This window comes from Homo sapiens, chromosome 6, assembly GCF_000001405.40.
Source record: "Homo sapiens chromosome 6, GRCh38.p14 Primary Assembly".
NCBI classification, from domain to species: Eukaryota; Metazoa; Chordata; class Mammalia; order Primates; family Hominidae; genus Homo; species Homo sapiens.
The window spans coordinates 39677888-39701431 of NC_000006.12; the positions used below are offsets into that span (position 1 = coordinate 39677888).

A 23544-nucleotide genomic window follows, 5' to 3' on the forward strand; every position below is an offset into this window, starting at 1 on the left:
TTCCATGGTGTATATGTGCCACATTTTCTTAATCCAGTCTATCATTGTTGGACATTTGGGTTGGTTCCAAGTCTTTGCTATTGTGAATAGTGCCGCAATAAACATACGTGTGCATGTGTCTTTATAGCAGCATGATTTATGCAGCCAAAAAACACATGAAGAAATGCTCATCATCACTGGCCATCAGAGAAATGCAAATCAAAACCACTATGAGATATCATCTCACACCAGTTAGAATGGCAATCATTAAAAAGTCAGGAAACAACAGGTGCTGGAGAGGATGCGGAGAAATAGGAACACTTTTACACTGTTGGTGGGACTGTAAACTAGTTCAACCATTGTGGAAGTCAGTGTGGCGATTCCTCAGGGATCTAGAACTAGAAATACCATTTGACCCAGCCATCCCATTACTGGGTATATACCCAAATGAGTATAATTCAGACAATTTTAAATTGACTCTTGGAATCATGTGTCAGGTGGAGAGTTTGGTCAAATGACCTCTAAGATCTCAACTGACTCTGGGATTGTTTAGTCTAGTTTCAATAAATATTTCACTTACAGATTTAAAATACAGGCCAGGCTTTTCTTTCTTTCAAAACTGGGTAAAGCTCTAGGATGAGTTATAGCTTGAGGTATAAACCTCAACATTCCCACTGTGTTCCACTTTGAGTTTGGTGTGGGGTGGGGATCACCAATCTAAACCCAAAGAAAACTTCATGGGTGTAGCCCAAAGGGAACCAAATCAAACGAACCAACAATTTTGCACAAATTCCCATGAGCCAAAACCACTGAATTTCACTCAGCAACAAAGACCTATATTAGACCCCCTCATCAACTTGAGCCAAATTTTCCTAAACCTCAGACATATCAGGACACTGTTGAGTTTGAAAGATGAACAAAAGGCTTGATTTTAAAAGAATTAACTTGAAACTATTCAAGCTTCTATAACATTTTGGAGTCTTTACAATAGAACATTTTGGAGTCTTTACCATGGAATAAAATAACTGAAGAAATAAATCATAAAAGGCCCCAGTACCCTCTTCCAGAGAGCAGTATTTCCTCCTAGACATTCACCGCAGAGGAAAATAAAAAAATCACATACTGATGTTCAACAAACAAATGACAGCAGAATTTTAAAAGGAAGAATAAGTTACAAAGCACACGTTGAAATAATATGTTGGGCTAAATTTACAACTAACATCTTTGTAAAAACAGACTTGGCCCAAACATCAATTTGTATACACAATTAGAGTTCTGTTATTAAAAACAGATGAAGACAAAAGGAAGCCATCATTTAATTGGTACTAACTGTACCTACTTGTGTGGAAAACAGTGCTGTGTGTACTGATACATGAATTCACATGGCCAAATTTATGATATCTCAGTCTCTTTTTAAAGAGTCCAGTTAATCTGCTTACATCATATCATTTTTAAGGGATGCATTAGGGCGGTATTATCCTCACTGATGCTTACCTTACCACCAGGGGTGAGATACCTAGAAATGGAACGGTGGGGGACAGGGCAAGGAAGACGGAAGAAAAGTTAACAGAGGAGTCATCTGTCCAGTAGAATTTTAGATCCTTTGGCTTCTTCTGAAATTCCCTTTGGCTTTTGAACATGTCATTCTCTCTCCATGGAATGCTATCCAGAATGTCCATGTTTCTGAATTGGAGATCAGCCTTATAATCAATGCATAGATAATACATGGCAGGGTTTCTTTTCTTTTCTTTTTTTTTTTTTTTTTTTGAGGCGGAGTCTCACTCTGCTGCCCAGGCTGGAGTGCAGTGGTGCAATCTCGGCTCACTGTAACCTCCACCTCCTGGGTTCAAGCAATTCTCTTGCCTCAGCCTCCCGAGTAGCTGGGACTACAGGTGCATGCCACCATGCCCGGCTAATTTTTTGTATTTTTTTAGTAGAGAAGGGGTTTCACCGTGTTAGCCAGGATGGTCTCAATCTCCTGACCTCGTGATCCGCCCACCTCAGCCTCCCAAAGTGCTGGGATTACAGGCGTGAGCCACCATGCCTGGCTGGCAGGGTTTCTTTTCTTACATGGAAGCTGTTATAACCTAACAGTATATCTTAAAAGTTCTGGCATCTCAAATAAAACAAGTATAGTTAGTTTTTTTGTTTGTTTATTTTGAGGCAGGGTCTCATGCTGTTGCCCAGGCTGGAGTGCAGTGGCGTGATCTCAGCTCACTGCAACCTCCACTTCCCGGGTTGAGCAATTCTCATGCCTCAGCCTCCCAAGTAGCTGGGATTACAGCGGCACACCACCACACCTGGCTAATTTTTGTAATTTTAGTAGACACAAAGTTTCGCCATGTTGGCCAGGCTGGTTTTGAACTCCTGACCTCAAGTGACCCGCCCACCTCAGCCTCCCAAAGTGCTGGGACTACAGGCATGAGCCACCATGCCCGGGTGTATAATTAGTTTTTAATTCAGAAAACTATCAGCTTCTTAAGAGCAGACATGGCACTTTAATATTTGTCAGTAATTCCTGCTGTACCCATCATAGCTCTGGCTTTCAGTGACTATGCACTGACTGGTTTAGATAGGCCTTCAAACAACTTAGAGTTCAATACAGTAAACAGGAGAACACCAACAGAAAATTCACTAATGCATATATGAAACTGTAGAAGGGAAATGGGTCAGCTACCTTTCTCACAGATAGATAGTAGAGGGAGACATGATGGGCTTATCAATGAAGACCTTAATCTAAGAACTAAAAGAGAGAGAATGCAGTTTAACAGGCAGTGAAACAAATACCCCATGCTACTCTGACAACTTGACAAAGACTAGAAATAGGTGGTCATTAAGCCAGCAGCTTTGCTAAAAAGGCCAGTAGAAGATGTAGTAAGTGGTTATAAAAGTAAGGCAATAAGCTAAGGTAGCTACAGAAGTGGTGCTACCATTCCATAAACATGTATTTAAAACCCTTTTTGTCCCATTTTATTAGGTAAAATAGGGAATAGAAGAAGGACTGCAGGTGGGGAATGCAAAAGTGAATAAAACACAGTGCTTGTCTTTAGTATGGTCAGTGTACAGGACACAGGCAGATAAATACAATTACAATATGATAAAGGCCATGTATCAAGTACTTTGGGTACAAGGAAGAGGGAATAAATGTGTCTGTCTGAGAAAGCCAATAAAAGTTCTTAATAAATGACTTCAAAAAGTAATTCAATGCTGAGAAGTTGAATCTGGGCAAATAAATACATAAAATAAAATAAAATAAAATAAAAAATAACTCAAGACATTTTTATACTATAACATTAAGGCAAAATTTTGATGATCCGATTTGAACACAATGACCATTACAATGAAGGAAAGATCTTCATAATATAACCAAGCTGTTTCCATATTTCAGAAGAATACCCAATTAAAAGCAAAAACAAAAAGACCTTCACTTCTCTATTTACAACAAACTGCCAACACCAAATAGTTCACTATAGGAACTGTATTCTGTTTTGTTTTGTTTCATTTTCTGGCCCTTGTTCATGTATATTTTCATGTATAAAAACAGCACCTGAGGATGTAGCTTTTTATGCTACAAAAAGTAGGAGAGAATACTATTTACCTTAATGTTTTAAAAAAAAACTCTAGAATCTTTTCTTGTCAACAAATCATAATTGCCTTTTAATTTTTTTCTCTTCCTCAACTACCCCTACTTCTTTCAATACTCAAATCCTTCAGCCAGAAACAAACAAAAAACCCAAAGCCAACATTCCATGTAAAATATCAGGGAGGCTAGAGAAGAGGCAGGAGGTTCACTAGATAGATCTCACTTCTCATTTCAGAGTCAGAACTCTTCCCTTCCCAATTCCACGGAGAAATGGACAATAAGCAGTTTCATCCTTAGTTTCTGTGGACTGGAAATGCAATTTCTGGCCCTGTGACAAATTCCGCTATAACAAAGCCAATAGCATGCCCCGTGGAATTCACTGTAATGGGATTTTAACTGTATTGGCATTATGTACAAATCCAAAGAAAAGCACATCTTAGGGAATGATGAATGTAGGAAGAACTACAGGGGTATGTAGAGTTTGGAAAATTCACCATTTTTTTCTTTCAGAGAAAAAAAATGCTCATCGGGGGAAATACTGAATTCTGTCAACTTACTCATTCCACAGATATTTATGAATACTTACTACATATCATGTGTCAGGCACTGGTCTCACTGCTAGGAATGCAGTAATAAGAAGACAGAAAAGAACCATGTTCTCATGGAACTTATGTATGAATCGGGGAGACAGATAATAAATAAACAAGAAAAAGATCAGAAAGCATAAGTACTGTTATGCATCGCTAAACAATAGTGATACATTCTGTGAAATCCTTCATTTGGAGATTTAGTCCTTGTGTGAACATCATAGCATGTACTTACACAAATCTAGATGGTTTAGCCTACGACACACCCAGGCTATATTGGCATAGACTGTTGCTCCTAAGGTACAAACATGTGCAGGATGTTACTGTACTGAATACAGTAGGCAACTGTAACACAGTACTAAGCATTTGTGTCTCTAAACATATGTAAATATACAAAAGGTACAGTAAAAATACAGTATTATAATCTCATGGGATAACTTTTGTATATGTGGTCTGTCAATGATCTAAACGTCCTTATGCAGTGCATAATCGAACTATGAAGAGAATGCAAATAAAATAATGCACTACAATGTGACTAGATAATTTCTTTTTATTTTTTTTGAGATGGAGTCTTGCTCTGTTGCCCAGGCTGGAGTGCAGTGGCGCAATTTTGGCTTACTGCAACCTCCACCTCCTGGGTTCAAGCGATTCTCCTGCCTCAGCCTCCTGAGTAGCTGAGATTATAGGTGTGTGCCACCATACCCAGATAATTTTTGTATTTTTAGTAGAGATGGGGTTTCACCATGTTGGTCAGGCTGGTCTCAAACTCCTGACCTTGTGATTCACCCACCTCAGCCTCCCAAAATGCTGGGGTTACAGGCATGAGCCACCGCGCCAGCGTGACTAGATATTTCTAATGCGATTGGGAGGTCAGCAAAGCCTTTCTGAGGAGCTAACAGTAAAACTGAGATCTAAGCGATAAGGAGGAAGGACACTTAGAGATAAGGTAACAGGCCAAAGGGCAAGAACAATCTTGTCTTATTTTAGGAAACAAAAGAAAGCTGCTGAGCCTGGGCAAAGGAAAGGAAAAGGTAGGTCTGAGAGGCTGGTAGAGGCCAGATGGCAGGGTTTTACAAACAAGGTATAGTCTGAGTTTTATGCAAAGTTTGAGAGAGCCTTTATAGCACTTTAAACAGGGGGATGATTGGATATGATCTGCATTTTTAAAAGCTCATTTTGGCTAGTGAATGGTGACTGGACTATAAGTGGCCAAGAGAGTGAAGGGTTAGAGGATTGCTGCAAAACTGATTAGGGTGGCAGTAATGAAAATGGAGACAAATTGATTGATTCGGGAGATACTTTAGAGTTCAGTTGACAGGACCTGCTGAAAGGAGATGAGGAAAAGAGCAAATCAGAATGACTGGAGCCATTTACTAAGAAAAGGATAATTGAGGGAGGACAGATTTGGATAAAGAGGATCAAGAGTTCCTTAAAATATACCAACTTTTAGATGTTCATAAATACCCAAGTGGAGATGTCAAGAATGTGACTAGATACAGATGTCTGGAGTTCTGGGGAGAGATCAGAGCTAGAGATACAGATTTGAGAATCAATGACATAAAGATTATATTCAAAGTCATGGAACTGAATGAGATCATAAAGAGATCAAGAAGAGAAGACTTAGTCCAAGGTTGGGGCCATCAGTGTTAAGGGCTCATGAAGGAGAGGAGGAATAGGCAAAGAAGACAGAAGAACAGCCGAGTGGGTAAGGGAATAGGATAGTGTGTATCTGTTTGGGTCATCCTCTGGAAATCTGACACCAAGATGGAATTAGATGTACAAGAGAGATATAAAAGAGGAGGAAGTAGGATTAGGTAATGAGAGGTTCAGACCTGGTGTGGATCTGACATCTGTGAAAGGAGGCAGGGATAGTAAGGATTAGATACGAAGAGCTCAGTTCTAAGAAAGACTTGACCTAGTCAAAGGAGAGTTTGGATTCAACATTGCCAATTAGAAGATTCTCATGTAATGAAAGAATGTTCCAATTCTAGTATCCCCATCATGCTCAGTTATTGACTGGGAACACTCCAAGGAAGCCTGGATTGTGTTTCCACTGTGTTCAATCTAGGGGTATGGTAGCTGAAGGCTGCTAGTCAGCTCTTGCCCTGCAGCAGATACTCATGAAGGGAGACACAGGACACTTCCATAGCTACCACAGTATGATGTTATGAAAATTAAGAGTAGGCCGGGTGCAGGGGCTCACGCCTGTAATCCTAGCACTTTGGGAGGCCAAGGCAGGTGGTTTGCTTGAAGTCAGGAGTTCGAGACCAGCCTGACCAACATGGAGAAACCCCATCTCTACTAAAAATACAAAAATTACCTGTAATCCTAACACTCTGGGAGGCCAAGGTGGGTGATCACCTGAGGTTGGGAGTTCGAGGCCAGCCTGACCAACATGGAGAAACCCTGTCTCTACTAAAAATACAAAATTAGCTGGGCATGGTGACACAAGCCTGTAACCCCAGCCACTCGGGAGGCTGAGGCAAAAGAATCACTTTGAACCCGGGAGGCGGAGTTTGCAGTGAGCCGAGATCACGCCATTGCACTCCAACCTGGGCAACAAGAGCAAACCTCTGTCTCAAAAAAAAAAAAAAAATACAAAAATTAGCTGGGAGTGGTGGCAAGTGCCTGTAATCCCAGCTACTCTGGAGGCTGAGGCAGGAGAATCACTTGAACCTGGGGGACGGAGGTTGCAGTGAGCTGAGATTGGACCACTTCACTCCAGCCTGGGTGTAAGAGTGAAACTCTGTCTCGAAAAAAAAAAAAAGAAAGAAAATTAAGAGTAAACAAGTATTTTAAAGAGGAGGAGGAAGAAATTTAGCCCTGTCAAATGCTGCTTAAAGATCAAATAGGACAAGAATGGGCACATGACCATGCTTTCAGGCAACATGAGTATCACTAATGACTCTAACAAGCAAAAGCAGTCTCAGCAGGGCAGAGAAGACAGACAGAAGCCCAGTTGGAGAGGGTCCAGAAATAAATGGGAAGTGAAGTATAGGCAAGAGGACAGACAACTCTTTTCAGGTAGTTTTTGTGGAAAAGGGGAGCACAGAAATGGGAAATAGCTAGAAGGGATGAGAGTAAATGAAGGTCATTGTTTTATTTTAAGAGAGCAGATACTACAATGAACTGATGAGAATGATCTCATAGAGTTGGAAAAATCAGCGATGCTGTGGAAAGAAGAAAACTGCAAGTGCAATATACTTGAGATGGCAAGACAACAAGGCCTCAGGAAACAAATGGAGGACTGGCCTTTGGCAGAGACAGTAGAGCTCTGACTACAGTAACAGGAGGGAGGCCAAGGAATTAGGTGCAGATGCAGGCTGGCAGATATGACGTGGGAGAATGAGGCTGTACTTGATTGGTTGGGTCTATTTACTCAGCGAAGTATGAGGAAGCTGAAAGTGAGAGCAAGGGAAGGGAATGTAGGAAGTTTGAGAAGAACCAAATTGGGAAACAGTCATCTCTGACAGTGAGAAGGTGAACATACCAGAGAAGCGTATTAGGACTGTAAGTCTGCACTAAGTGCCCATTTGAAATATGCAGGCATGAGTCTATAGTGAGTTCAATCATTTCAGTTAATATTTTACTCCAGCAATATTCAGCAGCCCAGCCATAGAGATAGAGTAGGTGGATGATCGAGTTTAACCAGAGGGGAAATTTTGCTGAGTATATGACAGAAAAAGAAATGGAAGGCTTAAATGGTGTTTCTTGACCACAGGTCCAACCCCACATGGGGCACAGTAGTTGCCAGCAGACAGAACTGATGGTTGAATGGTCATAGCCCCTCCAAATTTCCAACGCTCTAGAAAAACTTCTACTCCTATTTTCCCCTCTGTTTGGGCAATCTCTTTATTTACTTTTCCTTTGTAGCAAATTAAACTCACAGATACTGACGTTTTTAATGAATACAATGCAAAAATCTGCTGCATAAATCTACTTTTGTTTTAATTGATTTTTAATGACTTTTTTTGAAATTTTATTCTTTCATGATGAGGGTTGGATTTTAAACCATCTCTGTACGTAAATATATCTTCTTATTTGGATGGCAGATGAAAGAGCCTTTTGATGAAAATAAACAAAAGAGCTCAAAATGACATCTTCTTCTTAAGTCTTTGCCAGGACAATTGAATAAATCATATTTTGTAAGGTGTTTAGCTTAATAGATCTGTCTGGATTTCAAATGTATGTAAAATGCTTTTTTAAACAAAAGGCACTACCACATTGATCTTTTTTTGGCAATTTGCCTTGAAAAATAGATGCAACCAGAATTACCCCTTTTATTTTAACAAACCTTTGAAAATGCACTTAAAATTTACTTTCTGTAGGCAAAAACATTTGATAGAAAAGATGCTAATTATGCCAATCACATGGCAAATGGAAACTTTTTAATAAGCAGCTTTCTCTTATAGTCTTAAAGCTACAGTTTATTTCAGAATAAGTCTTAAATACAACCCAAGGTGAGTAGTTTGAGAAAATATAAATGATTGCTTGTGTTCACAGATTAGATTTTCTGGCCAAATTCCCTAGTTTGGCAGTTTTAGCCCATGGTAATATCAAATGAGATTCCAGGCAAGCAGAGTGAACTGCAAAGAAACCCTGGCTTTCTCTCATAACCTAACCCCCCACATTAGAAAAAAATGACTGTGAACAAATCTGTCAAAACCAGGACCTTCACTATAGAATAACCACCCAAGACCCAAAGCATAAACAACCACTCATTCTATTGTACTCTTTTTAACAATAAGAACACCTGAATCATTAATGCATGTTTTTTTCTTCTTTGAGCTCCTAGAAACCAATTGCATTTTTAAAGCTAGTGTATACCTGAGACTAGTATAATTACAGGCTACCATTCTATGACATTTTAATGATCCAAAGATCCCAAAATAAAGAACAGGGCTGGTTTTTTATTTTTAGTATTTTAGCATGAAGAAATGAAGCTACACTTTAGGAGGCTGCTGTGTTGGAAGAAATTTCAGCTGCCAAATAAGTCATCTAGAAGCAGTATTCTGTAGCAACCCAGGATACCTAGAGTCCAGAATCAACACACTGCAGCTGCATTCAATAGCAGCGCCACAACACAAGCCCAAGAGGATGGAAAATGTGACCGGTTACACCACAGATGAATATGGAAGACAATGAACAATGAATACTGAGTGGTGAAAGTAGGGGGCAGGGCAGAAGAAGACACATCCCCCAACACAAAGCAGACAACAAAATGACGACTACATCAGTTCTGGGAACCAACGGACAGGACCAAAATTATGTAGAAACTAGGTCATTCTGAAAAATGAATACTAACGCCCAACATCGGGCTCTTAAGAAAAGAAAGAAGCTAAATTTGAGCCTTTGAGAGTTCATATTTTAAAGAGAATACTTAGTTGTTGGCAAAGAATTGTTCTCTAAAAGGTCTGAAAGTAATAAGTAAAATTTGAACTTCTTATTCCTTAACATCAAAGAGTATCATTCTTTCATTCTTTCCTGGGTAAAAGGGAAAAAATAATCAGCATCTTTTGAAGTATGCAGATGAAAGGGCTAGGTGGGGAGGAATGATAATTTGGGTGATCAACCTTATCTGTCATCAGCATGATTAATTTTAATACATTTTGTTAGTATAAATATTCCTAAAGCAACAATGTAATAACTGTGTTATACATATTATCATACTTAGGTTAAAATCACTAGGCTGCAGCCAGACTTTCTGGGCTCAAATCCTGGCTTTATCACATATTAGCCATGCAACCTTTGCAGGTCATTGAGTGTAGCTGTGCTGCACTTTTCTTTTCCACAGAATGAGGATACTTTTCTAGTTGAGAGGATTATTTAATTACTCCATGTAAAGCACTATATCAACAAGGACCCCAATAGGAAATAGATGGCATACTCCATTCATAGAGGGTCTTGTGACAAAGATGTGTGTGTGTATATACAGGGGAACCACAAAGCATAGTGCTGAAACCTGCGGCTAGCAGTAGATTTGTTAACCCCCGTAGGCCTGAAAGGTTACTGGAATCCAAAAGGAGTGAGAAAGTTCTACAGAATAGGTGGTCTTGAGAAGGAACTCATCTTCAGTCTGGAGAAACTGCCAATCCAGGGTGACCTTGCAGGGGAGAATGCAAGGGGGAAACATATTTTGAGTTCACTGTCCTCCCCTCTGATCTCCTGCTGGGGTTTCCCATTGGCTGACCCCACTGGGAGGCCAGAGGGCAGGAGGCAGGTTACTGAGCCCACACAGGTCAGCCTACCAGGACAGACAGCAGATGGAGAAGGGAAGACAGGAGATCTCTTCATGGCAGGGCAAATGAAGAGATCCCACTCAAGCACTTCACTGTACTGGGAAACACCTGATGACTACACATCTTACTTTTGCCAAATATATATCGCTGTAATGAATGTAATTACATCATATTAATCAGTACCAGTTGTGAGGATAAATGCACCGAGATAGAAGTTCACATGAATAGAACCCTATTTTCATTTGATAGATATCGGCCAGGAACTCATTGTTTATTCAATATATTGTGGCCCAGGAGAAAAGAATGAGAAAAGAAGTACCACAGGAACGAGTAGTAGCCTTTCTCAGATTTCCCAAGAAGCTGCCACAGCATTTGTAATCAAGCCAAACCCATAAAAAGAAGTGTGGTAAGGTACACCTCTGAGACATATTCCCCAGAGCCTTGGGCTTGTGCAATAAAAACAAATGGAGAGTCATGAGGAGGAAGTGGAGAACTGTATACAATCTGGCTTTTTATTTATTGTGAATAAAGATGATCTAAGTCTGAAGGATATTCACTGTAGAAAATTCTTAGAAATAGCAACCTGCAATCCACTTTCTTAGCTCAACACTTAGAAATATAATGTAAATCCAGCCTGGGTAGCATAGTGAGACTCCATCTCTATGAAAAATAAAAAGTTAGCCCAGTGTGTGCCACCACATCTGGATAATTTTTTATTTGTAGTCCCAGTTATTTGGGAGGCTAAAGTGGGAGGATCACTGAAGCCCAGGAGTTCGAGGCTGCAGTGAACTATGATTGCATCACTGCACTCTAGCCTGGTGACAGTGTGAGACGCTGTCTGCAAAAAAAAGAGAAAAGACAAGGAAAGAAAAGAAAAGAGAAAAGAAATATAACAAATATGAAAATATATTAGTTGATTTGAGATTTGATTTAAAAATGCAAAATGCAGCTGGGTGCGGTGACTCATGCCTGAAATCCCAGCACTTTGGGAGGTGAGATTGCTTGAACCCAGGAGTTTCAGGCAAGCCTGGGCAACATAGTGAAACCCTGTCTCTACAACAAATATGAAAATTAGCTGAGTGTGGTGGTGCGTGCCTGTGGTCCCAGCTACTTAGAAGGCTGATGTGGGAGGATCGCCTGAGCGTGGGGAGGCTGAGGCTGCAATGAGCCCTGGTCACACCACTGCACTCCAGCCTGGGTGACAGGGTAAGAAACTTTCTCAAAAAATAGTAATAATAATAATAATAATAAATAAAAATGCAAAATGCAAGCATTAAACATCAGGTCAGTCATGAATTCTGCTGTCATATAATTTATTTTTTGTTTTTCTTTTTTTTCAGAGGGCCAGGGTCTCACTCTGTCACCCAGGCCCGTGCAGTGGCACAAACATGGCTCACTGCATCACTGCAGCCTTGACCTCCTGGACTCAAGGGATCCTCCCCACTCAGCCTCCCAAGTAACTGGACCCACAGGCATACACCTCCATGCTAAGCTAATTTTTAAAATTTTTGTAGAGACCATGTCTTGCTATGTTGCCCAGGCTGGTCTTAAACTCCTGGGCTCAGGCAATCTTTCCACCTCAGCCTCCAAAAGTGCCGGAATTAAAAACTTCAGGTGTCAACCATCGCACCCAGTCAGTACAGGTTAACAATAATGTACATTTCAGTATATATTTGGTTATGAAGCCAAACATAATGAAAGGTGCCATTTTAAATTTTATTTAAAAATCACATTTTTAATTATCTAATTAATTCAAATACAAGAAAGTGTGTGTCATTTGCTAAATAGGGAAAAGTCAAAACATTTCTTGCTATTTATATAATGTGAATATTATTACATTTTATTAGGATAAACTATATAATGTAACATTTACTAATACAGTGATATAAACTAAAATAATGCTTCCTTTTATCTGTATGCCAAATGATTACATAATTTAAAACTTCCCGAAGGGAGTTTTCAATAATATATTATAGTGAAAGAGTGAGAGTATCGGAAAGGGTGGTAGGCACTGATGCAAAGTAACGATGTCAATGGCACTAGGGAAATAGGAAGAGGACAATTCTGGAAAGTTCCTGCATATGAGTCCTTGAATAAGGAACTTATACTTCATTCTGCAGACAATAGTAAGTCACTGAAGGAGGGAAAGAGTAGAATTGGTACAATATTTCTGAATGATTAACCAGGCAGTGCAAGATGGCCTGGACAGGGAGTGTCTAGAGCAGGAGGCTGGGTGGGCAAGTGGGTGGGCAGAAACCTGAATGAGGGCAGTGTAGGGAACAGACAAGCAGGGACAGACAGGAGGGAGAAGGGGAAGGGGAAGTAAAGATGAGGAGGGAAGGAGGGAAAGATCCCCCTGCGGAAGAAGAATGAACAGGAATTGTTATTGTCCAGGACAAGAGTAAAGGAGGACTCAAGGTAACCTAGGAGTGTCAAGCATAATAAACACTGCTGTGCCACCAACAGGAGACAGCTCAAGAAGAGTGGCCAATGGGGGACTGCAGGTAAGCTGAGAAACCAGCAAGGGGAGAACAGAGCAGGATCCAGATGGAAATGGCTGCAGGCAGAGGAAAATGCAGCCACAGAAGAGTGTCCTCTGCGTAGTTCAGTGCACTGATGGAGATGTGAACTTCAGCAAAGGAAATTTACAGACAAGGTTGCAGGCATAAGGGTTTTACATAGGGTTGTCCAATAAAATACAGTTAAATTTGAATTTCAGAGAAACAATGAATAATTTTATGGGTATGACCCATGCAACATTTGGGACATATTTATACTAAAAACGTGTTCACCATTTATCTGAAATTCACATTTAACTGGGAGTCCTATATTTTTCATTTTCTAAATCTGGCAACCCTGGTTGGAACTGAATTAGGAGATAAACTTCTGAAAAAAGCAAACTTAGCTGGAAACAAAGCTCCATGTAGTAAGGATAGTAAAGAGAAATATTTCTGAGAGAAGAGTAAAGGAAGAAAGGCTAAGAAAAAAGATACACGCATTTGAGGTAGCAGAAACGGAAAAGCTCCCTTATGATAACCTTTCTCAAAACAAGTCAGTGTCGAAAATGCTCAGTGTGGAGTTAAATTAAGAGCCTAAGGGCAAGTGAATATATAAAAACTTCTGCTCACTTTTGTAAGTTATATTTCTTGGAGGAAGGCTAAAGACCTTGAAGTTCCTTTCAACCCTAGGTTTCTGTGACTCAAGCTTTTCATGTATAAATGTTTCAATATTTTTGGCTACATAATTTTTTATATTATTAGAATTTCTATGTATGAAAACAGAACTGTGTTATTTAATGTAGCCATATAAATGACAATCTTATAAAGATTGCTTGGTGGTGATTCCATTAATAAAAAGCAAAATGACTATTTAAGTTTTTATGAGAAAAACATGTTTACATAAGTAAAAGGCATCATTAAGAGAAAAGCTATTGTTAGAAGAAAATATTAGCATCAAATGGAACAATGAAAATCTGTCAGTTTAAAACATATCACTTTGGCGGAAAAATACTACATAACTGCACTGGTGCCTCATCCTGAAGACCTTGGGAACTGCAGACTTGCTGGGTTGATCCAGTTCCTGTAGGACTGAGATAGAAAATGAGATATGAATTCTCACTTCTTACAGTCACCGTGTAACACCGTGGCCAATTTAACAGAATACAGGATACATTTCTATTAAAAAACAAAAACAAACCAAAAGGAACAAATCAAGACTAACGTGTTAATTAACAATACAAGGGAAAACATTTGGAAGATACTACTCCAGATAAAAACATAGATTTCTTCACCTGAACGTGGGAGGCGGAGGTTGCAGTGAGCTGAGATCTCGCCACTGCACTGCAGCCTGGCAACAGAGCGAGACTCCGTTTCAAAACAAAAACAAAAACATAGATTCTTCAGCATTCAGGAAATAACTCTTTACTGTGTACAGAAAAAACGTAAATCATCATCCTCAGAACATCTCAACCTGGTCAATAAAGAACTTGCAAACAAACCTGTCTCCCCTGCCCTGATTCTTCTCATTTTTATCTTCCAATATTTTGGTAGAGCAAGAAACCAACAAAAGCTCAAACTTAAAACTAAAGAAAATCAGCTTGTCTGTACTCACTTTTAAACAATCACCTAACTTTCCCCAAAGTAAATATTGCTATTCTTTTCATAACATGATGGTCACATGGAGACACTGTGCAGTCTGGTTTTGTTTGAGGTCACTATAATAGATATTCAGAATCACGCACAGGAAGAATTACATTGTGGAAGCTTTGCACTCACTTGTTGCTGGTACTTCTAATCTTAGGTTGACAACATCAGGTAAGTTGCCAAGTACTTCCTCAATAAGCTAAAACTGTGATAGAATGATGGTTATATCATTGAGATACTTCTGAACCTCCATTCATTACTTATTTTGTCAAGTAATTTCTAAGGAGAAACATTTTTACCATACCTATACTTTGATAAATTTACTGATGGTTAATTAATAAACAACCCTATTGTACTCTTACTCGTCCTTAAAGGATTTGCAATACATGAGATGAAACAGAAGAGTTATCCTCCATATTTTTTTTTCATTAGAGAAGAGTATACTGTACTTAATATAAAAAAGCCTCACTTTTAAAAGTCATATAGCAATGCACCTGCTAGTTAGGATAGAAATGAAGTAGCCTCTCAGCATCAAAAATATAACTATCATAAACAACTCTCACCTATCAATTCCCTCAGGGAAGAATGGATTCACTTAGGTGGTAATGAAAGGGCATGACTCAGTAGTGGTCACACATGGAACTGGCGTACAGCTGCGCTGCCCAGATCAATGTACGCATATGCCCCTGGGAGGTTGGTACTATGAGAATATCCTCCAGGAGCCACTTTGTTTTAGCTCGTCTGACTGAGGCCTTAAACAAGGAAAGGAAGAGAGCTGTTAAGGGCACCACAGTAGCACAAATCCAGAGATATTAAGACTTTCCTAACTCAAGTCACAAGGTCTTCCAGCTCAATAACTAATGCTTGATGCATATCTTAGGAGATAAAGTGTGAGGGAGAGATGCCTGGCTGCCTCCCAGTAGTTATTCTCTCCTTCTCTAGTAACAAAACCCCAGATTTTAATTGGGTACACTGTCACCCAACTAAAAGAATTACATTTCCCTGAGTCACTTACAGCTTGGTATTGCCATGTGACTAAGTTATGGCTAATGAGCTCTATGTGGTGTGTGTAACTGTCAATAATTATCTTTAAAAAGGTCCTCAGGGACTACTATGAACATCTCTATGCACATAAACTAGAAAATCTAGAGAAAATAGATAAATCCTAGAAACACACAATCTCCCAAGACTGAAACAGGAAGAAACAGAAATCTTGAAAAGACCAATAATGAGTTCCAAAATGGAATCAGTAATAAAAAAAAAATCTACCAACCAAAAGAGTCCTGAGCCAGAAGGATTTATAGCAGAATTCTACCAGATGTACAAAGAAGAGCTGGTACCATTTCTACTAAAACTATTCCAAAAAATTGAGGAGGAATGACTCCTTCCTAACTCATTCTACAAAACCAGCATCATCCTGATACCAAAATCTGGCAAAGACACAACAAAAAAGAAAACTATAAGCCAATATCCCTGAAGAACATAGATGCAAAAATCCTCAAGAAAATACCAGCAAACCAAATCCAGCAGTACATCTAAAAGTTAATTCACCATGATCAGTTGGATCTTATTCCTGGGATGCAAAGATGATTCAACATACACAAATCAATAAATGTGATTCACCAAGTAGAATTAAAAACAAAAACCATATGATCATCTCAATAGATATGGAAAAAGCATCCAATAAAATCCAACATCCCTTCATGGTAAAAAAAAAAACCCTCAACAAATGAGGCATCAAAAGAATACCTCAAAATAATAAAAGCCATCTATGACAAACCCACAGCCAACATCATACTGAATGGGCAAAAGGTGGAAGCATTCCCCTTAAGAACTGCAACAAGGCAAGGATGTCCACTCTCACCACTCCTGCTCAACATAGGACTGGAAGTCCCACCCAGAACAGTCAGGCAAAAGAAAGAAATAAAAGGCGTCCAAACAGAAAAAGAAGAAGTCAAATTATTTCTTCACTGATGATATGTTTCTATACCTAGAAAACCTTAAGGATTCTGCCGAAAGTCTCCTAGACCTGATAAATGACTTCAGCAAAGTCTCAGAATACATAAATCAATATACAAAAATCACTATCATTTCTGTACACCAATAACATTCAAGCTGAGAACCAAATCAAGAATGCAATCCCATTTATAATAGCCACACACACCAAAAAAATACCTAGCACTAGATTTAGCCAAGGAGGTAAGATCTCTACAAGAAGAATGACAAGACACTGCTGAAAGAAATCATAGGTGATACAAACAAATGGAAAAGTATTCTATGTTCATGGATTGTAAGAATCAATATTACCAAAATGTCCATACTGCCCAAAGCAATCAAATAATTCAACACTTTTCCTATCAAATTACCAACATCATTTTTCACAGATTTAGAAAAAAACTATCCTAAAATTCATATGGAACCAAAAAAAAGCTCAAAGAGTCAAAACAATCCTAAGCAAAAAGAATAAAGCCAGAGGTATCACATTACCCAACTTCAAATTATACTACAAGGCTACAGTAATCAAAAAAGCATAGTACTATTACAAAAACAGACACACAGGCCAATGGAATACAATAGACACTCCTGAAATAAAGCTGCACATCTACAACCAACTGATTTTTGGCAAAGTTAACAAAAATAAACAATGGGGAAAGGATACCCTATTGAATAAATGGTGCTGGGAAAACTGGCTAACCATATGAAAAAGAATCAAACTGGACCCCTACCTCTCACCATATACAAAAATTAACTCAGTAGACTAAAAACTTAAATGAAAGGCCTCAAATGATAAAATTTCTGAAAGAAAACCTAGGAAATACCCTTCTAGACACTGGCTTAGGCAAGGAATTTATAACTTAAGTTCTCAAGAGCAAATGCAACAAAAACAAAAATTGACGATTGAACTAAAGAGCTTCTGCAAAGCAAAAGAAACTATCAACAGGGCAAACAGACAACCTACAGAGTGGAAGAAAATATTTGTAAACTATGCATCTGATAAAGGACTAATATCCAGAATCTATAAGGAACTTAAAGAAATCAATAAGAAAAACACAAACAACCACATTGAAAAGTGGACAAAGAACAAACACTTCTCAAAAGAAGATATACAAATGGGCAACCAAGATAAAAAATGCTCAACATTACTAATCATCAGAGTGATGCAAACCAAAACTACAATAGGATACCATCTCACACCAGTCAGAATTGCTATTATTAAAAAGTCAGAAAATAACAGATGTCAAGGTTGCAGAGAAAAGGGAATCTTTCTACACTGTTCATGGGAATGCAAATTACTTCAGCCCCTGTGGAAAGCAATTTGGAGATTTCTCAAAGAACTAAAAATAGAATGACCTTTAGACCCAGAAAACCCAATACTGGGTATATACTCAAAAGAAAACAAATCATTCTACCAAAAAGACACCCACACTCGTATTCTCATCACAACACTATTCACAATGGCAAAGACATGGAATCAACACAGGTGCCCATCAACGGTGGACTGGATAAAGAAAATGTGGTATATATACACCATGGAATACCACACAGCCATAAAAAAGAATGAAATCATGTCCTTTGCAGCAGCATTATCCTAAGTGAGTTAACACAGAAACAGAAAATCAAATGCCACATGTTCTCACGTGTAAGTGGGAGCTAGGCATTGGGTATACAAAGACACAAAGATGGGAACAATAAGCACTGGGGATTCCAAAAAGGGGGAGTGGAGGGGAGGAAGGAGGAAGAGGAACAAGAGTTGAAAATCTACCTGTTGGGTACTATGTTCACTGCTTGGGCAATGGAATTATTAGAAGCCCAAACCTCAGAACCACGTAATATACCCATGTTATACACCCGCACATGTACCCCTGAATCTAAAATTTAAAAATAATAGTACTAAACATTCTCTTTAAAAATGAGGGGCTCCAAACTTCTTCTCCCACTTTTTCCTTCCTGTTGCCTAGAAGGTGCATAATTGAGCTGGAGTTCAAGCGGCCATCCTGTGTCACAAGCTGATGTGATAAAGATGGTGCAACGGCAAGGGAGAAGGAGCTTGAGTCCCTAGTGACCAGAAAGCTGCCAATACAGCCTTGGACTGCCTACCTGCAGGTTTCTTGTATGTGAAATAGTAAGTGGTTATGACTTTAAGTCACTATTGTCTTAAGTTTTTCTTCACTGATGAATCTACACCTCACAGATTTCAACTAGAATGTGTGTGTGTGTGTACAGTATATAATATATAAATATATATATTATAAAACAGCTAACATAAACTAGGCTCCTACTAGGTGTCAGGCTGTAAATACTTTGAGATATTGTGTATGTCTGTGTATCTCAAAGTTTGTGTGTGTGTGTACAGTGTAAATACTGGACACACACACACACACATCTCAAAGTATTCACAGCCTGAAACATAGTAGGAACCTCATACATGTTAGCTCTTTTTTAAATCTAGTATAACTACAATCAACTCAAAATGTATAGGTATCTGTAAACCTCCCATGGTTAGACAGATGGCAGAATTAGAAAAAAAAAATTGTTAGATGCCACAGGTACAGCCAAAATGTGAACAAGCCCTACTCTTTTTTATTTTCTATAGTCATCTCTAAAAGTCCTCAAGCCTGAAATATCTCCTAGGTATCTTCTAATTGATTTGGGTTTGTTTACTTTTCCTATTAACCCAAAGCGGAGGTTTATCTGCCAAGTTTGTTTTCTTATCTCTCTTCTCTGGCATCACCAACTTCTGTCCTTTGGTGAAACCTCTCCCTATTTCCAAATGGTGCAGATAGGACTGACAATCAGGTTGAGGAAGCCAAGGTAATCAGAGTGCTCCATGCCTCTAGTGACAGTGATTGGTCTGGGGATGGGGATGTGACTCCAGAATCCTCATATGGAAATTCTACTGAAGCTAGTAGAAAGGACAATGTCCTGTCTTAAGGGTCGTGGTTCATAAGCCTATCAGGTTGGTGCTGTCGGCCACATGGAGGAAACTGAGACTGAAGTCAACATATTTTTAGACTTCCCAGTTATGTAAGCCAATAAATTCCCTTTTGCAGGGGGTTTCCATCTCTTGTCATTGAAAAAGATCTCAAGACTAATATTAGACTAACCATTTTTCTTTATCCTTTCTTTTTTTTTTTTTTCTTTTGAGACAGAGTCTTGCTCTCTTTGCCAGGCTGCAGTGCAGTGGCATGATCTCCACTCACTGTGACCTCCGCCTCCCAGGTTCAAGTGATTCTCCTGCCTCAGCCTCCCAAGTAGCTGGCATCACAGGCACACACCACCACACTTGGCTAATCTTTTTTTTGTATTTTTGGTAGAGATGGGGTTTCTTTGTGTTGGCCAGGTTGGTCTCAAACTCCTGACCTCAGGTGATCCACCTGCCTCGGCCTCCCAAAGTGCTGGGATTACAGGCATGAGCCACCGTGCCCGGCCTAGACTGATCATTTTTCTATGTGACCTAACAAGTTCACTGGCATATTAAGGATAAAACAGATTGGGAAACTACAGCATCAACAACTTTTCAGTGTCTATCTTAATATCTCCTTAGCACCTTACATTGTTTACTCATATAATATTACTCATATAATTATTAATATCACATGGAAATTGGGAAATCTTTGCAGCATGACTTCATCTAATATAGATATGAGACTATTGCCATGATTTTCATCCTTCTAATTATTTTTCAAGAAGCTAATTCAGTTTTTACATATCAACATTTAGAAAATGACTTTGGCTTGCTACTTAAATGTTACATTATTCTTGTGGCTTCCTTGGAAATCCAGATTTTCATGTACTGATAGAAATACTTCCTCTACCAGATACATAAACACAGCATAGCAGCTTTCAGCACAATTTCTCTCATTAAAGAAGCAATTCCATTTTTTAAAAAGAATCATACAAAAGAAGTTTGTTATTTTATTTAAAAAGGATACTGCCTAGTTGTAACATTAAACCTGATTTTTGTCTCAGTAAGAAGAAAATGTGGTGTTCTTATGATAAAGTAAACACAACTTAAATTATAAGAAAAAGAAATATTGATTGCCAAAGATTCTAGTGCTTGAGAGTGAATACAAGTTAGTAAACATACATTTAAATCTCGACAGAGCCATAGATGAAGAATATTTTATTTATGAATAAGAATAATTCCTGACACAATTGGCTAGGCACCGAAACTCAGAGTGAAAACACAGACACTCCCAAGTGAAAATATACTGTACTTCTATTATCATTTAGATTGAGGCAAAATAGGGTTTCCTAAGAAATAAATATTCTTAACAAGCAAATAAAGAATTCAGCCATTGGGATTTTCTTATTTTACAACTGTTTTAGCTTTTATAACAAAGTTTTTAGCACTCTGAAAGCTTTTTATGGCTCTAAATATGCTACAATTACATGAACAACACTATTTAATTAGCACACATTCAGTGCATGGCTCTATAATGGGAATTTTCATTAATTAAAATCAATGGAAATACAAAAGCAGTAGCTGTAAACAATTTGAGGAATCAAGAATCTAATTTGCCTATTGCACAACAAGGAAAAACACCTTGCAGTTATGTGAATAATTTTGGCTTGCGTAGCAGCTGCATGTCTAACTGGTAGTTTCAGGCTTCATTCCACACATATTTACTGGGTATTTACTATGGGCTGGCACTATTATATGTGATTGGGAATCATTAGTGAAGAAAACAAAAAGATCCCTGTACTTGTGAAGCTTGCATTCTAGCAGAGGAGATAGGTAATGTACAATAACACAGCACATAAGTAAATTATATATTAGAAGATGATAAGTGCTATGAAAAAAAAAATGTGGCATCAGGTAGGGGAGTGAGGAATGCCATGGTGGTTGGGGCAGAGATGGGCTGCAGTTTTTAGTAGCCTGGTCAGAATGGGCCTCACTAAGAAGGTATCATTTGAACAAAGACTTTAAAGAGGTGACAGTGTGAGCTATCTGGGTATGTGGGGAAAGAGCATTCCAGACACAGAAAACAGCCAGGGCAAGAGCCTTTAAGGCTAGAGGTTTCCGGAATGTTAAAAGCTGAAGCAGAGTAAGCAAAAGGGAGAATATTAGAAAAACAAAACAAAACTATAAGGTAAGGTCCCCTTTGTTTACAAGGGGGAAGTGGATCATGGAAGCTGGCCTTTTTGGCAGGGCTGGCTAAACTATTGTGGAGCCCAGTGCACAATGAAAATGCAGGGCCCCTTGTTGAAAAAGTAGAGGAAAAGTGCTGTTAAAGGTACCAAAATATAAAACTTTTTCCCTTAAAAACATTTTAGTATTTGTAATATAGGGATAACATAATTAGAGGAATAATAATAAATGAGTAAGGGATAAATTTCCAAATTGCAAAAATATAATATGTTGATGCTATAATTTTATACAATATAAAACAATAATACTTTATTAATATATCTTGACTGATCACACAAATTTCCTCGCTTACTTTTCTACATATTCATTTATTTGATCATTGAAGTTTATATTTTTAGCAACTTCATTTTCAATGGATATAATTGAAAGCAATGTCAATTATTTTTGATACATTCCAGCTCACAAATCATTTTTTCTGATTTTCATTTTTATTTTTTAGCTTTTTAATTTTTGTGGGTCCATAGTAGGTGTAAATATTTAAGGCGATACATATGGCTATACAGCCATGCAATGCATAATGATCACATCATGAAGAATGGGCATACATCCCCTCAAGCATTTATCCTTTGTATTACAAATAATCCAATTACACTCATTTAATTATTTTAAAATGTACACTTAAGTTATTATTGACTATAGTCACCCTGTTGTGCTATTCAATAGTAGGTCTTATTCATTCTTTCTATAAGGTTTGCTAACTTTTAATTTGGAGAAAGATCTTTCAGTTGATCTCAGTTATCACTAGAGCTAAGAGTATTTTATAAACTGTGACAACATTAAGGTAAATTTCTGTAAATTACTTCGAAATGTAAGTTTTAGTATGTTCAAGCTGATGATCCTTGCAAACTAATTTTTCTAAAAAGATTTAACCCTACATGCAAGTCAGTTTCATGGAAGTTTGAATTTTGTTTTAAATGTAAATATATACAATGCATTTTAATGTTTCCTATGATATTTCCTGTCACTTGTGGAGGTTGAACAAGAAACTGAAAGAAGCTTCATGGTAAGTTCATAATTCAAAACACCTGCTTATGCATTCCCTCACTGTATCTACTATTACAAGAAAAAAATTAACTTCAAAATTGTCTTCCTTATTAATAATTGGTTCATCTGAAGTTTCACATGAAAATGGTATCCATAATTTTAATTTTTTTTTTTTTTGAGTTGGAATCTTGTTCTGTCACCCAGGCTGGAGTGCAGTGGCACGATCTCGGCTCACTGCAACCTCTGCCTCCCAGTTCAAGCCATTCTCATACCTCAACCTCCCGAGTAGCTGGGACTACAGGCACATGCCACCACACCCAGCTAACTTTTGTATTTTTTAGTAGAGACAGGGCCAAGCTGGTCTTGAACTCCTGACCTCAGGTGATCTGCCTGCCTCAGCCTCCCAAAGTGCTGGGATTAGAGGTGTGAGCCACCGCACCTAGCCTTTAAATTTAATTTTTATTTCTAAGCCTGTAGATATTTGCCTTACAAAGTTGCAGCAGTTTTCAAAACTGGTAATTCTAAATTCTGAAGAATTCTAACAACTTCTTGATATGTTTTATTGCGATGTTAACATGCACACTTTAATTTTGTAATAATTTACTGATTAAGTTTGCTGCCTGAGCTCCAAAAGTTTCTGTTCAGACACTCAGGACAAAGAGATTGGCTCTGGTACCTATGGGATAGCCACCTCCTAGGCAAGTCCTGGTCCAGCCCCCACGGGAAGCCCTGCTCTGGCATGGCCACACTGCCACTTCTGCTCATGCTGTCACAGCTGCTACCACCAATCTGGGTCCAGGTTCCAGGATATCCTCCTGCTGGGGTCCCCATGGTATCCTGGACTGCTCTGAGGTGTATACAGCGGGCCAAATGCTAT

General features: G+C 38.6%; 1 protein-coding gene across 10 annotated transcripts in view; it reads right to left on the bottom strand.

The window, feature by feature from the left end:
- The window catches only part of KIF6 (kinesin family member 6), a 395419-nt gene that overhangs the window by 347898 nt on the left and 23977 nt on the right, over positions 1-23544 (bottom strand). Inside the window, exon 4 of one of the 10 annotated variants that reach the window (NM_001351503.2) lies at positions 12086-13975. The exons of the other annotated variants lie outside the window; for them this stretch is intronic. Coding sequence (NP_001338432.1) covers positions 13879-13975 — 97 coding nt within the window. The 3' untranslated portion in view covers positions 12086-13878. Of the gene's footprint in view, positions 1-12085; positions 13976-23544 lie in introns of those variants that run through there. 10 annotated transcript variants of the gene reach the window in all.